This window comes from Homo sapiens, chromosome 6 (genome assembly GCF_000001405.40).
Source record: "Homo sapiens chromosome 6, GRCh38.p14 Primary Assembly".
NCBI lineage: Eukaryota > Metazoa > Chordata > Mammalia > Primates > Hominidae > Homo > Homo sapiens.
The window spans coordinates 57,786,841-57,800,704 of NC_000006.12; the positions used below are offsets into that span (position 1 = coordinate 57,786,841).

At 37.8% G+C, this 13,864-nt stretch overlaps 1 long non-coding RNA gene and 1 other non-coding gene across 3 annotated transcripts, besides 1 other annotated feature; one reads left to right on the plus strand and one right to left on the minus strand.

Moving 5' to 3' along the window:
• Positions 1–2,762: 2,762 nt before the first annotated feature.
• LOC105375103 (uncharacterized) lies at positions 2,763–13,445 on the minus strand. 2 transcript variants are annotated; one of them, XR_001744178.2, is made up of 3 exons: positions 11,280–11,756; positions 6,386–6,974; positions 2,763–5,965 (listed from the first exon to the last, which is right to left on the minus strand). It is a non-coding gene; the product is annotated as an uncharacterized LOC105375103 (long non-coding RNA). The 2 variants fall into 2 exon arrangements; XR_007059627.1 differs by lacking the exon at positions 11,280–11,756 and adding an exon at positions 12,895–13,445 and having other exon boundaries at positions 5,250–5,965.
• Positions 10,407–11,606: an enhancer, noted in NCBI's record as "BRD4-independent group 4 enhancer chr6:58146291-58147490 (GRCh37/hg19 assembly coordinates)". NCBI's record gives its function as "activates an origin of replication core promoter dependent on BRD2, P300/CBP, MED14 and CDK7 cofactors, and independent of BRD4, by STARR-seq in HCT116 cells {active_cell/tissue: HCT116}" and the evidence as "EXISTENCE:reporter gene assay evidence [ECO:0000049][PMID:35650434]".
• On the plus strand, positions 13,371–13,444 carry TRI-AAT1-1 (tRNA-Ile (anticodon AAT) 1-1). The gene has a single exon. It is a non-coding gene; the product is annotated as a tRNA-Ile (tRNA).
• Positions 13,446–13,864: the final 419 nt, after the last annotated feature.

A 13,864-nucleotide genomic window follows, 5' to 3' on the forward strand; every position in this document is an offset into this window, starting at 1 on the left:
CAAGTTTCAAAAACAATTTTGTGGTAAGGGCAAATCCTCAGGTCAAGAAAAGTGTGTTACTAAATTCTGTTAGTTTCCAGAAGAAAGATAAAGTCATATGACACAGATTTTACTCCTTACGTTAGAGAGTGTGCTAAGGATACCACCCACATTTTCCAACATTTATTTCCATCATGTTTTATGATCTTCATCTATATTCCATCCTCGTTATTTCTAGCAACAGTCTATGAAATTTCTTACATTAATAGAAATAATGTATTAATATTCAGCAATGTGCTAAACATTGTTGAAACACTGTCTCAATATTACTCTTGGAAGAGCTCTGAGGTAGACAATATTTCCAATATATGAGTCATGAGGAAACTGAGGAATGGAAAGATTAAACAACTTGTTGAGGGTAGCATAATTGTAAATGGTGAAGACATAATACAAATCCTAATATCTATGACTCTAATGCTTTAAAAAATCATTATATATACTATGCTGTCTCTGATGTGTGAATCTACCCACTTCTAATTCATTATTTATAACAAGTATTTGTTGCCAGGTAGTATTCTAGGCTTTGGGGATACATCTTTGAAAAAGCTTATAGAAATCTCTGTCCTCAGGGAATTAATATTCTAGGGACTATACAATCAACAATAAGCAAAAATGTAATATGTATAGTGTGTTAGACTGTAGTAAGTACAATGGCCAAAAATTAAGAATGGAGAATGTCTAAGGGGACAGATTGTTTGGAATTTGAATAAAGTGGCTATGGAAAACCTCACTGAGATAATGGCATCTGACCAAAAGCATGAGGAAGATATAGAACAAACCATATCTGTTGCATGTTTAGTAATAACCAAGAAAATACTGTACGTGAAGCTGAGTGAGAAAATTACATAGTGGAAGGAGGGAAGTCCATAGAAGAATTGGGGGCTTCATGTGGTACAGCATCTATAAAGCATTGTGCAAGTTCTGACTTTTACAATGAATGAAATGAGAGATCAGAGTTTTACACAGAAAAAGGTAATAACCTGATACATGTTTTAAAGTGATTATACAAATTGCTCTTTTGAGGATGTACTGAAGGGTGCCTTATGCAGAATCAGAAACACCTGTTTGCTGGCCATTTCAATAACCTGGGCAATAAATGATGGTGGTTAGCACCAGGATGCTAGTGGTGAAAGTAGCAAAAATGATCAGAACTGAGCTGTATTTTGAACATACAGTTAATAAGTTCTGTGGCATGACAGAAAAATGATTCCATAATATTTGTATTGAGCAACCTTGTTGATTTGATATTCAAACTAAGTCCTAATATTAAACAATGTAGGAATTTCAATGAAAATATGACCAAAGGGAGAAAATGGCTCCCAACCTACTGTAATTAAAGTTCCCTTCTGTTGTTTTAAAATGCTACTATGGATAGAGAAAACAAGATATGGATTTGGAAGAAAATTACCCACAGTCTAATTGTCAGATTTATTGACTTAAATGTTACATGGCAATAAAGTTGAAAGAAAAATAAGAAGAAATTCTAAAAGCCAGCATGTTAGATTTATTCCCTCCACAAAAAGAATTGCTAATATTTATAAAGTGAGATAATATGCCAAATACTTGTACTTGGCATAATTGCATTTTCTCAACAAATCCTATATAATCAACATTGTTTTATTTGTATATGTGTGAAAAATCATGACACCTGCAGTTTAAGTTACATTTGTATGAAACAGTCAATATGTGGCAGAGTCAGAATAAAGCCCACGTTTAGATTAAAGGAATTCTCTTTCCATTGCACCAACCCGTATTGCCTGTGGAAACCCTAAACAAGCCATTTAAATTTGTTGGAATTCCGTTTTTCAACTTTTTAAAACTAAGAGTCCAGTCCTAAATCAAGTTAATGTTTAAATTCTTCACTTATGCTTAGTATGTACATTATTCCAAAATGTGAATTGGTCCCAAATATCATATTCATTCTAACAGAGGACATTAAAAGTTTAAAAGATATCTGTTATATGGTTGAACTGATTATATTTTATCGGAAAGTGAAAGGAACTGAAAGGAACTACTCAGCATATTTCTAATGAGTATACAGAGGAAAAGTATTTTGCCTCATTTAATTTTGTAAAATCTCTCTCTGGCACATAATTCACAGTCTTTTTTTGCCCACAGGAATAGTGAGGCAGATATGTATTAATTCATGTCATAATACAAGAATAGGTAGCAATAAAACTCTGGCATTTTCCAAATTGCCAGTATAAAGAATTGTCAGAAGAACATGGGTATTAGCTTCAGATTCTCCAAGGGGTTAACATTTATGTTATCTGTTAAATATGAATTATGTATTAACTTCTCATATTTCATATATAAAACTTTATGCTTTGGTCCTGTTCCTCAGGATGACCTTGATGTAATCAGAAATAATAGTGTTCTTTACCAAAGACATTAATCAATAACTTTATAATATGAAGCACTATGAATATTTAATGGCTTCAGCTTGAATAATTCAAATCCCGTATTACTAAAAAATAAAGTCAATTGAGTGACTGAGAGTTCCATATTCCACAATTCCTACTCTGCTTACTACCTATTCTATTTACTATTCTCTTTACTATTTGAGAAGGGTATGGAGTTGTATATGTTGCAAACATCACGTATCTTTTGTTCGACTTTCTTGAACACGTCATATTATTTTTTTAGTTCATTTTCTGAATATAAGTAATTTTTGGTGAATTAATACTTTAAACAAGAGTTCACCTGGAAAGCAGTAGGCAAAATATCATTAAAAATATTATTTTATTAACATACCTTAAAAATGTAATAGGACAATGCATCAAAGAACAATTTCAAAATAAAAACACAGAAAATAAATGACCAGCAAAATTGCTCTGAAGTCCTAAAAACAGAAATAAATACTTCAATAATCGTAGGTAATATGGAAATCCAGTGTATGACTTACCTATAGAAAACCCTTCTGGAATTTCATTTAAATCTAACGTCAATATGAGCTATGTAGGAAGTCCATTAATAAATAAGAATACTATATAGGTACACATATATATATTAATTTTAAGCCATATGCAGCCCTATTTGAAACTGTTAAAAAAAATCATCAGGATTAGTCCATACTGATTATTAAAAAATAAAATTGTCATTGCTTATTGTAGAAGATAAATGTCAGCTGTGCAGCAGATGTGTTTATAGCCACCCAGTAATCCTATCGCCTCAATAATGCATTTCCCTTTTTTTAGTTAAAAACTTAATTACATTAAGAAACTGTATGTGTTTAGGAATATGAATATAGAAGGAGTAATCATCGTTTAGTAAAATAAGTTTTATTTGCATATTAAAATTTACTGTGTTTGTGAAGATGCTGATAGTACATTACATATGGAGATCCAAGTGCACATAGTCACTAATTCTTTAAACTATGTTTGATATTAGTAATAATTTACTTTACATATATATCGGAATTTTATTGAAAAATAGTAAATGACTGCTAATGTACATTATTCTTCCGAGTTGCATTTTTGCTTAATGAAATAGAATTTTTAAAAAAATTGTTTATCTTTATTCCTACTAGATTATACATTTCATGAGAAAAGCATTATCTCTTTATTAGTTTATTTGTTTACCTATATTAGAACTTGACTTTGAAATAAACCAGAAAGGAAAGATAGCCATTACACATTTCACTTTCTTGAACTCAGCAGCAGAGATAAGGATGAAATCAATAGCTTGAGAGAACTAGGAAATTTTAGGGCCGTGTTTGCTTGTGTGTATGTACCTATTGTTAACAAATTGGTAATAGATCATAAATATGATCTAATATTAACTTTTTTTCTGATTGTCAGCCATACAAAAAAATTTCTCCTAATAGCTGATTATAAATAATAAAGTAAAATCTACAGATTTTTATGTTTTTTAAGACTCTTTTCACCCATAAAAGGTCCCTGGTCTTTCTTCCATTGATATTATTTTTAAAATTGATAGACATTATTTTTTAGAGAAGTTCTGGGTTTAAAGAAAAATTGATCAGAATAGATAGAATTTCCATAAACTCCATCACTCTCCCTCTCTTACAATTTTCCCTATTATTAACATCTTGCATCAGTGTGGTGCATTTGTTACAATTGGTAAACCAGTAATTATCAATACATTACTGTTAACTAAAGTCCACAGTTTACATTACAGTTTGCTCTTTGTGTTATACATCCTGGGTTTTTTTTTAAACAAATGTATAATGACATATATTTACCCTTATAGTATCATAAAGAGTTAATGCCAGTTAATTGTTGAAGGAACTGGGCCTTTTATCCTTAGAAACACCTCTATGTTGTATTTATTTCATTGTATCTATTTCCTGCCCCTTGACATGTTTCTTAATCTACTCTATTTCTTGTAAACTGGTAGTTAAAAGTAGAGGCTCACTTAGATTCAGCTTCGAATCTTTTAACAAGACAATTTGATAGGTGGGCTTGTGCACTTTCCATTGCTTCGCTTTATGAGGTACATAGTGTCTGGTTCTCCAACTTTTAGTCACCAATATTAGCACTAATATGTGGTTCAGCTGCCATTCATAAATACATGTATATATAACTCATATATTTATGTGAATATATATATTTATGTGTTGATAAATAAAATGATACACAAAAATTAGAAAATAACATTGAAAGACTGAACATAAAAGTAAACAAGAAGGGATTAACTCTCGAATGCACAGTTTAGAAAAGAATCAAAAGTATATCTTCGAGCTCCTTAGAATATAATGAAAATGGGGGCTTATAACGACATATTTCTAAGGATTCTGTAGAAACTGCTTTCTCGTTTTAACTTATACCTTTGAATACCCAAGTTACAAAACATTAGAAGAAATCAGTGCATCCAATATAAGAAGTAAGAAAAAGAAGAAAAAGAAGCAGCAGAAGCAGAAGCAGAAGAAGGAGAAGGAGAAGAAGAAGAGGAAGAAGAAGAAGAAGAAGAAGAAGAAGAAGAAGAAGAAGAAGAAGAAGAAGAAGAAGAAGAAGAAGAAGAAAAAGAAGAAGAAGAAGAGGAAGAAGAAGAAGAAGAAGAAGAAGAACAGGAAGAAGAAGAGGAAGAAGAAGAAGAAGAGGAAGAAGAAGAAGAAGAACAGGAAGAAGAAGAGGAAGGAGAGGAAGAAGAAGAGGAAGAAGAAGAAGAAGAAGAAGAAGAAGAAGAAGAAGAAGAAGAAGAAGAAGAAGAAGAAAAAGAAAAAGAAGAAGAAGAAGGAGAAGGAGAAGTAGCCCAAAAGAAAACCAGAAAACAGAATGGTGAAGGAAACACAGGAATTAACTAGAAAATTGGAAAATCTGCTTGGTCATTTGAAAACAAATGGAAAATTGTGAGTCAAATGTCAAAAATAATGATAAGAATAAGGGGCTATGGAGAAAGCACAAAGGAAAACCAAAAAACATTAGTGAATGCTATTATTAAGATTTTAGAAATGTGGCAGGATAATTTTTTTAAGTATTGCTTTGTGTTTGATCTCCGTTTCCTTATACTACTCACCTCATCTGTTCAAGGCAGTAACCGTATTTTATAGGACCTTAACTCTACACATGGTGATGAAGTGAGTTAAACACAGTCTACATAGACAGTGTTTCGGTACTCAGGAAGCTCCCATTCTAGGGGAGAGAAAAACAAACCAATAATTCAAAGACATACTTTCCGGAGGAGACGATATTTGTGAAGATGTAATAGGAACTGAGAGATCGTGTGGGCATCACTTTTAGCTGTACTTGTCTAAAGACGGGAAATTTGCGCTGACACCTGAGTACCTAGAAGTGCCAAACCTGTGGCAGGAGTGGAAAAGAAGGGAGGATGGAAGCAGGGGCAACAAGACTCTTACACGGGGATCAATAAAACACGGGCTCTAGGGAGGCGGCAGTTTCCTCTGATCTTCTCCCAGATAAGAGGCACAGATGTCGTCAACAGGAGAAACAACGGGGAATACAAACTAAAAGACATAAACCAGACAAGAAATTAGAGAATGCGGGCGTCGATCCCGCTACCTCTCGCATGCTAAGGGAGCGCTCTACCGCTTGAGCTAATTCCCCGAGGGAGAAATGCTGCACCCCACCCATTTTCCTGGTTATTAGGAGCATGCTGGTGCTTTGTGTCGCCAAACCCCTGGCAGGACAAGATTGAGGGCGGAGCTTCTCAGATACTGCCTTCAGCAAAGTTCTATGAGCCTGACAGTGCGAAGAATAGGGATTTCCAAAGAAGGTCATGAGGGAGACCTCTCTCCTCACTTCCCAATTTCGCCTTCTTCATCTCTCGGAATTAGAGAGCACATTCTGGATGGAGAAGCACCACCCGGAACTGCCTGGCTTGGGGGCACAGCTATTCCAGCACGCTCTAGAGTTGTGATCGTCACCTGCTCCTTGCCGCCACCGCCGCCCGGAAGTGGTGGGACAGCTTCTCCCAGCCCCAGAGCTTCACGGCATAGCCGCATCTTCAATAGCACTTTCCTCCTGTAGGACTCAGAAAGTGATGGAGAACCTTGGAGGAGTTGAGAAAGAGAAAGCTTGAGAATTTTCATCTCAATCTGTGGATTCATTCCTGAAGCACTTCTTCAGCACCAGGCACAGTGGATGAGGCCAATAATCCACACAGATACTGCCACAACAATAACGAGTACTGTGCAACTGTCATCTAGGCCAGATACCATTGGTAGCCTAGGGATTAAAAGAAGCTGGAGAATGCAGGCATCGATCCTGCTACCTCTTGCATGCTAAGCAGGCGCTCTACCGCTTGAGCTAATCCCCCACACTACACTTGTCTTTTCTGCCAATTTTTATAACCGGGACACAAATAGCGTCCTATGTCCCACTTAAGTTTCCAGGTTTTCGAACACCTCCGGAAACTTCCCTACCAAGGCGAAGCCAGGAGTGAAGCTTCTGGGAGACAGCCTCAGACCTGGAAGGCAGTGACCATCCTCTGCTTTTTCAATCTGAGTCGGGATCCTGAGAAAGAGAGAAAAGATCTCATTAGGAAAGCTCTAGTTCTAATCTGATTTCACTCTCCCATTAGATGAAAGAGAAGGAAGTACCGTCCCTAATTAGCAGTTACCTCAAATGCTCTGTTGAATGCATCACTTTTTAAGAACACAAACCTGGAAATAAACCCAAGTATCTTTTCACCGATTGATCCTTCAAGTAACTTATCTTCATCTAATATCTCTGTTACTAATTGTTTCTCCATTCAGGGGAGTTGAGATCTGTTGTTACCTATTAATCCTTGATAGATTTAATTTGCATTTTAGTACTGATTAATGTTGTTGAACATCTTTTAGTGTGCCTATTGGCCATATAAGCATCTTATTTTGTGAAATGCCTGCTCAAGATTTTGGCCTTATCCTTACTGAGTGTTTGTATCACTGAGTTCTAAAATGTGTTCTATATTCTCCATAAAAGTCCTGTTATATATGTATCTATAACACATATGATGTAAAACAACTATGTGTGCATATGACATATATTACATTTCTTTTCAAGTCTATGTCTTGCCTTTTCATTTTCTTAATATTGTCTTTCAAAGAAAAACATTTTGATATTTTATGAAATCCAGTGTATCTTTTTTTGTAAGGGCTCATGCTTTTCTGGTCCCTTCTGAAAAAGCTTTGCCTACATCAAATATGCGTAGACTTCTTTTCTTCTTTTCTTCTACAAGTTTGATATCTTTAACGTTAAGCTTTTTGTATATAAACTATTTTGATTTAATTGTTGTACAGGATGTGAGGTAAGGGTAGGGAATCCTTTTTTCCATACTCAGATGCCTGGGACCATTTGTTTAAAAAAACATTTTACCTCTGTCATAAATCAGTTGACCACATACATTGGTCTATTTCTGGACTATCTATTCTATTCCATCAATCTGGGTAAGTATCCTTGAGAAAATACCACATTATTTTGATTACCTTAGCTTTATAATAAGTCTTGAAATTACTTGGTGTAAGTCCTCTAACTTTGTTTTTCTTTTCCTAATTATTTAGGTTACTCTAGGTCCTTCAGAATAAGCTTGTCAATTTCTGTAAAAACAAACAAACAAAACAAAACAAAAACTCCTGCTGGGATATTTGTTGGGATTGTAGTAAATCTATAGATCAACTCAGAGTAAAAAAAGTTATCTAAATAATATTAAATTTCTCAATCTGTAAATATGGCAAACAACACCAATTATTCAGGTTTTCCTGAGTTTTTCTCAGCCATCTTTTGTAGATTTCTAGGCACAAGTCTTGTGCACATTGACAAGTTTATCTCTAAATATTTCATTTGTTTTAAACCTATTGAAAATGGTAATTTAATTTTCCATTTTTGTTGATGCTAGTACATAGAAATACAATTAATTTTTTTATATTGTAATCTGAGACATAGCTGCATTTACTTATAATGCTTATTTTTGTAGATGCATTAGGATTTTTTGTGTATCTGATCATGTTGTTTGCAAATGAATATATTTTTCTTTTCTAAAGTGAGTATGTCATTTATTTTTCATTCATGCGTTCCTTACTTTCTGGCACTAGCTAGGACTTTCAGTAAAATGTAGAAGTAGTAAGAACAGATATTTTGCATTTTTCTCCAATATTAAAGGGTACATATTTATTCTTCCACTATTAACCATGTTGCTAGTTGTAGGAGTTTCTTAAATGCCCATTATTCATCTAAGGAATTTTTCTTCTATTCTTAGTTTACTGAGATATTTTTAAACACCACGAATGAATGGCAAATTTGGTCCAATATTTCTTCTGCATCTAGTGAGATGATGACATGTATTTTTTGTTTTGTTAATGTAGTATATTACATTTAATTGACTTTTCAATGCTTAACTAGTTTTTTATTCCCAAGGCAATCTCCCCTAACTCTTGGTGCATTATGCTTTATAGATAATGCTGGATTCAATTTGTTAATATTTTAATTCAATATCTGTTGGTAAATGTGTCAGAGAAGGGTCTCCAAGCGTGGAACGCGCTGCTTTCGCAGCCCAAAGAAACATGGTGAGCATAGTGCTCCCTTCTAAGTGATGGGAGCTTTGAGGTGCAACAATGAGTCTTTTGGAGGAAATGTCTCAGAATTTCACAGATCCTAAAAACTTTCATTCACGAACCAGGTCGATGAATGGTTTCTGTGTTTCTCTCCCACCCTCTGGAGCATGCAGGGCTTAACAAAATCTATAACTTACTTGACACTTCTTGCTCATTGAAGATTTAAATGATACTATCAATACAGTGTACCAATGTTTTGCTGATGGTCCAGACAGTTCAATTCTCTTTGGACTAGATTAGGAAAAATTGGGGGACTTGATATACCTCTGGAGTAGGAACATAAATGCATACTTTCGTCTAGTCCATGTGAATATGAACTATTTCTGTTCCTCCTTCCTGATAGCAATAGAAAAGAATGCATTCCCCAAATCAAAGACTGCATGCCAAAGACCATGCAATTTTTGCTTCTATGTTCATATTGTTTGTAACATGATTAATTTATTAACTTTACATTCCAATTCTATTTTCTTAATTCTATTTTAAGTAAAAAGTGTTAATTATGAGAAATTCTGCACTATGGCACTGCTAATGTTGCAATCTATATCCCAGACTTCGTTTTACCGACAGAAGAAAGAATACCCTCATCAATTTCTCATGTCTTCGGAAGAAGGGACATGGGTTTGTAGTGGAATTCATGACTTTTTCTGCCTGAATATTAATTAGCAGAAGCACGTTCCATTTCTTTATATAAACCCACTCTTAGAACCAAGGTGAACTGAGTGAAAAAAATACTTGCCTTTATATTTCTCTTATCAAACTAACCATTCTTCAATCTACCTTTATCACTTTTCTCCCAGGACCTCCTAGTGGAAGAAACTGTGAAAATGGCTGGTGTCACTTCAGACGCAAAAGGAAAAGTGGCACATCATGTTCAGAATCCGATTAAATAGTGTCAGTAATTATTACCTCTGCTTAAAGGATTCAGAGCTGAGTTTGTTCAGCTACCCTGCCCTGACTAATGGCATCATGCAGGTGTACTTAGAAGTAAATTTAAAATTCCCCCTTACTTTAGGATCACACAACTCCTAGGGTAATTGCAGGAGTGATTGGGAAAGAGCAGTCTACTCTGAGGAGGTCAGATGGAGACCAAGTGAATCCTGTAGAATAGAAGTAGTGTCATATGACAAAAATGCAAATCCAACACTACTACGTCTTGGATTTCTTCTTTGTTTCCTTGATTAATTTTCTTGCTTCACTCCAAAAATCATAGCATAAAGCAAATTATTGTTCTACCTATTGCTTTCCACTTTACTCATCTTTCGTCTGGTGTCTGTGTGATTATGTCTCCATTAGAGACTGAGATCTGTTATTACCTATTAAATCCCTTCATTCCAGGATGTGGAACTAATTAGATAAGTTTCAGATTGTTGAATTTAGTGGTTATTTTAGAGGTAATTAGATGGTTAAATTTAACACTTGTAGCTCCACATAATGATGGAGTGCAAATATCTATTTATTCATAAATATCCATAGGCAGGGATCAGAATCAACATTTAGAAGACCTACTCCCTCAAAACAAGACGACCAAGAAAACAAATTGATTCTACTACCTTGGATTTATTAAACTTGCTGAGCAAAGAGCCGTACCTCTGTGGAGTCCCAGTACTGCCTAAAACAAGGGTGAGTCAGAGACCAGAATTTAAAGGGTTTGGGGACTGGAGCTATTCATAGGACACTTTTAGGGGGAAAGTTAGTAAGGTCCTTCTCAGGAGGGACTAGACAATTTCTAAACTAGGCGAATCATAGGTTTATTCAGTGGAACTTAGCTGCTGGAACATGAAGATCTGCGCAGAGTTGCTGGATCCGTTTGGCTTTGGTCTTATCTTGGATCATCGGGTCTGAGTAAGCTGGTGTTAAAACAATTAGAGCTTAGTGTAGCATGGCAGGGTTTGTAGACTTGTCCTGTGCTGTAAGTCACAGGGCTTTTGCAACTTCTGTGTTTGTTCATTTCTCAATTTGCCCTCTTTCCTCACCAACAGAACTGCCCAAGAAATCAACTTACAGTATAGCTACTGGAACTTAGCTCCGAAAATGTCCTCTGCAAATCTAGAACACTTGTTTTTTTTCCAAATAAGAAAGTTGAAGAGCAAAACGACGTGTCTAACGTCACACATTGAGCTAAAGACAGATAGGATCTGGCATGCGTTTGTCAGTTAACAGTGCTAGCACAAATACAACTCTTGTTAAAATCGTAAGGATTTTATGTCGTGAGACACTCAGGACTCACCTGATCTCGGTGTTCAGTTGTGCGTAGTTTTTGATTTGCACCTCGCCCTTGGGCAAGTGCAGAATCCTGGGGTTATACAAAGCGCATCACAGTTAACCCCTTTGTCCCAGTCCGCAGAATGAGAGCTCAGAGCCCGGCCATGGGAGGCTGGGTTATATAGGCAGGAAAATCAAGGAACCCAGGTATGAGCAGGGGCGTTTGTGGCGCGGAGAGAGCTCCTATCCCTGCCGTCCATCTACGTCTCAGGCTTGGCCCCTGGCGTGCAGAAAACCGCATCTCCCGAAATCCCAGAACGTAAACGTCGCCCAGGTACTCGCTCTCTTGTCATTCTCCGGGATGTAAAAGACTCGGGGTCTCTTCACGGATCACTGAAACCGCCTTCTCCGAGGCCTCCAGGGTGACTAAAAGAAAGGGTGCGTGTTCTGTGTTCTCCCGCCGGTGTGTTCCTCTTCATGTCCAGCCGCTTGTGTCTGTGCCCGCTAGGGTCTCGGGAGTTTTTATAGGCACAGGATGGGGGCGTGGCGGGTCAGGGTGGTCTTGGGAAATGCAACGTTTGGCCGCGGAGGAAGGAGTGCCCGTCCTCACCTAGGTCCATGGGCACAGGCCCGGCGGCGGAGCCCTGCTCCCCTCCCTTATCAGTACCGCGGTTAGTGCTCTGCTTTATGGCCGCAGCAATCTCAGACACTTTCGGAGCGTGTTTTTTTTTTTCTTGTCCTTTCGCTCCCCTTTTCGGGCGCCAGCTTTCAAACCAGACCAAAGGTGTGCTTTCCCCCATTATCTCCCAGCCTTCTTTCCTTTTCGCCTCTACTCAAGGCTGTGTCCACAATTAAGCTCTCAGGGGGAGGAGGCCTCCAGCTGCCTCAAGGAAGGGCATTTCTCGCAGTGCAAAGTGCGGAAGAGGGGAGCCATACCGACTGAAATCTTAACCAGAGTCGGTTTGCATAGAGGCTGCAATGGATAGAATCTCAGAAGTGAGGCGGAAAGACAGGCCAGCCCTGCGAAAGATGGATTGGAGAGAGGTGAGAATCTAGTTCAAAAGCCGGGAGAAGGAACAGGACATTAGCACAGTAGTCTAGGCAGAGAGCTGGACCATCTGTAATACGGCAAGGGGGTTGGTTGAGATTTCCTTTATTCAGTTATTCGAAATGTATCTATTGAGCTATTTATTAGTCCCTGGGTGCTGTGGGTGTTCCTGCGTATTCAACCACCTTGTCGACGCTGCAGGATGCGGCCCCATTACCCAGGACCCAAAGAACTTCCAAAAATGAATCCCGAGGAACAGCTGTTTCTCTACCGGAGAAGTGGGCAGCCAGGCGGAAACACGCAGGGAAATAGTTCTGTTTGGGACAGAAGGCATCAACCTCGTAAGACCCAGCGATCAGCAGAGCTCCCGGAGAGTGTTTCTTAATCTAAAGGTCATGAGTCGGGCTTCAAAGTTGTCTTGTCGTGCGTAAAATACCAATGGACTTACACCTGTTTCATCGAGAAGGAATACAATGCGAACACAAAGACTGTAATGGAACGTATTTCTCTACAGTGTCCTTTTCAGATAGAAATACGAGAGCGTTTTCCTGAGTTTTCTAAAAATGGGGTGGGGTAGGGATCAAATACTCACTTTTGGGAAACATGGGCGAATACAGTGGGAGTCGTGCTGGAAGTTACGAGCAGAGGAGCCTGGGTGGGGACTTATATTGGCCTTGACGGCCCGTGGAAAGAAACTGGCGGTAATTCCTTCCGTTTTCCGTCAATTTCTTCACGGGTTGCTCGGAAGCTACGGAAGCAAAGTAGAAAGGAGTGATAAGGGCAGGCCACAGTACCGGCGGACGGTGATGGCGTTGCGTTTAAAAGGGTGGTCACTGAAACCCCTTGTCATGAAACACTGAAGCAGGTGACATTTGAACTTTCCTTCCTCAGAATTGTATTTTAACTGAAATGTCAGGGTTCGGAGAAATTTGCCGAGGATCGTAACCAAGTTAGCAAAGATCGCAGGTTCTTTCCAGTTCCGAGAAGTTCAGAAAAGTTTCTTCGGTGATTGGAATAACGTTCGCCTTTAAACTTCTCAAGAGATTTAGGGTGGGTTTTAGTATGCGGGGCCGGTTAGCTCAGTCGGTTAGAGCGTGGTGCTAATAACGCCAAGGTCGCGGGTTCGATCCCCGTGCCGGTCAGAAGCGGCTTTTTTTAATGTTCATCTTACAGCAACAGTTGTGTGCAGTGATATCAAAAGTCACGGGAGAACAAGAAAAGAAATGTATATGTACTCAGTAATCTACACAGACTTTAATGCTTGTTTCACAGTAACAACCGTGTGCAGTGATACAGACAGTCACAAGAGAACACGAAAGTAAATGTATTTGTACCCAGTAATCTTGATGGGACGTAGTTCGCTGAATCGTAGGGTTGCGTTTCCAGTTTAGTGTTCCTGCAAGAGCAGATGATGCAGAGAGCTGAGATTCCAGAAAGAAATTGAAATCCGGGAGGAACGTGAAAAACAGGCGAAAACACGGAAATAAGGACCTGGGCTTTTCATCCTTTTACGATTTCCAAAGTGTACAAATCTTTCTCTGTCGTGACTAACTCCTGATGTG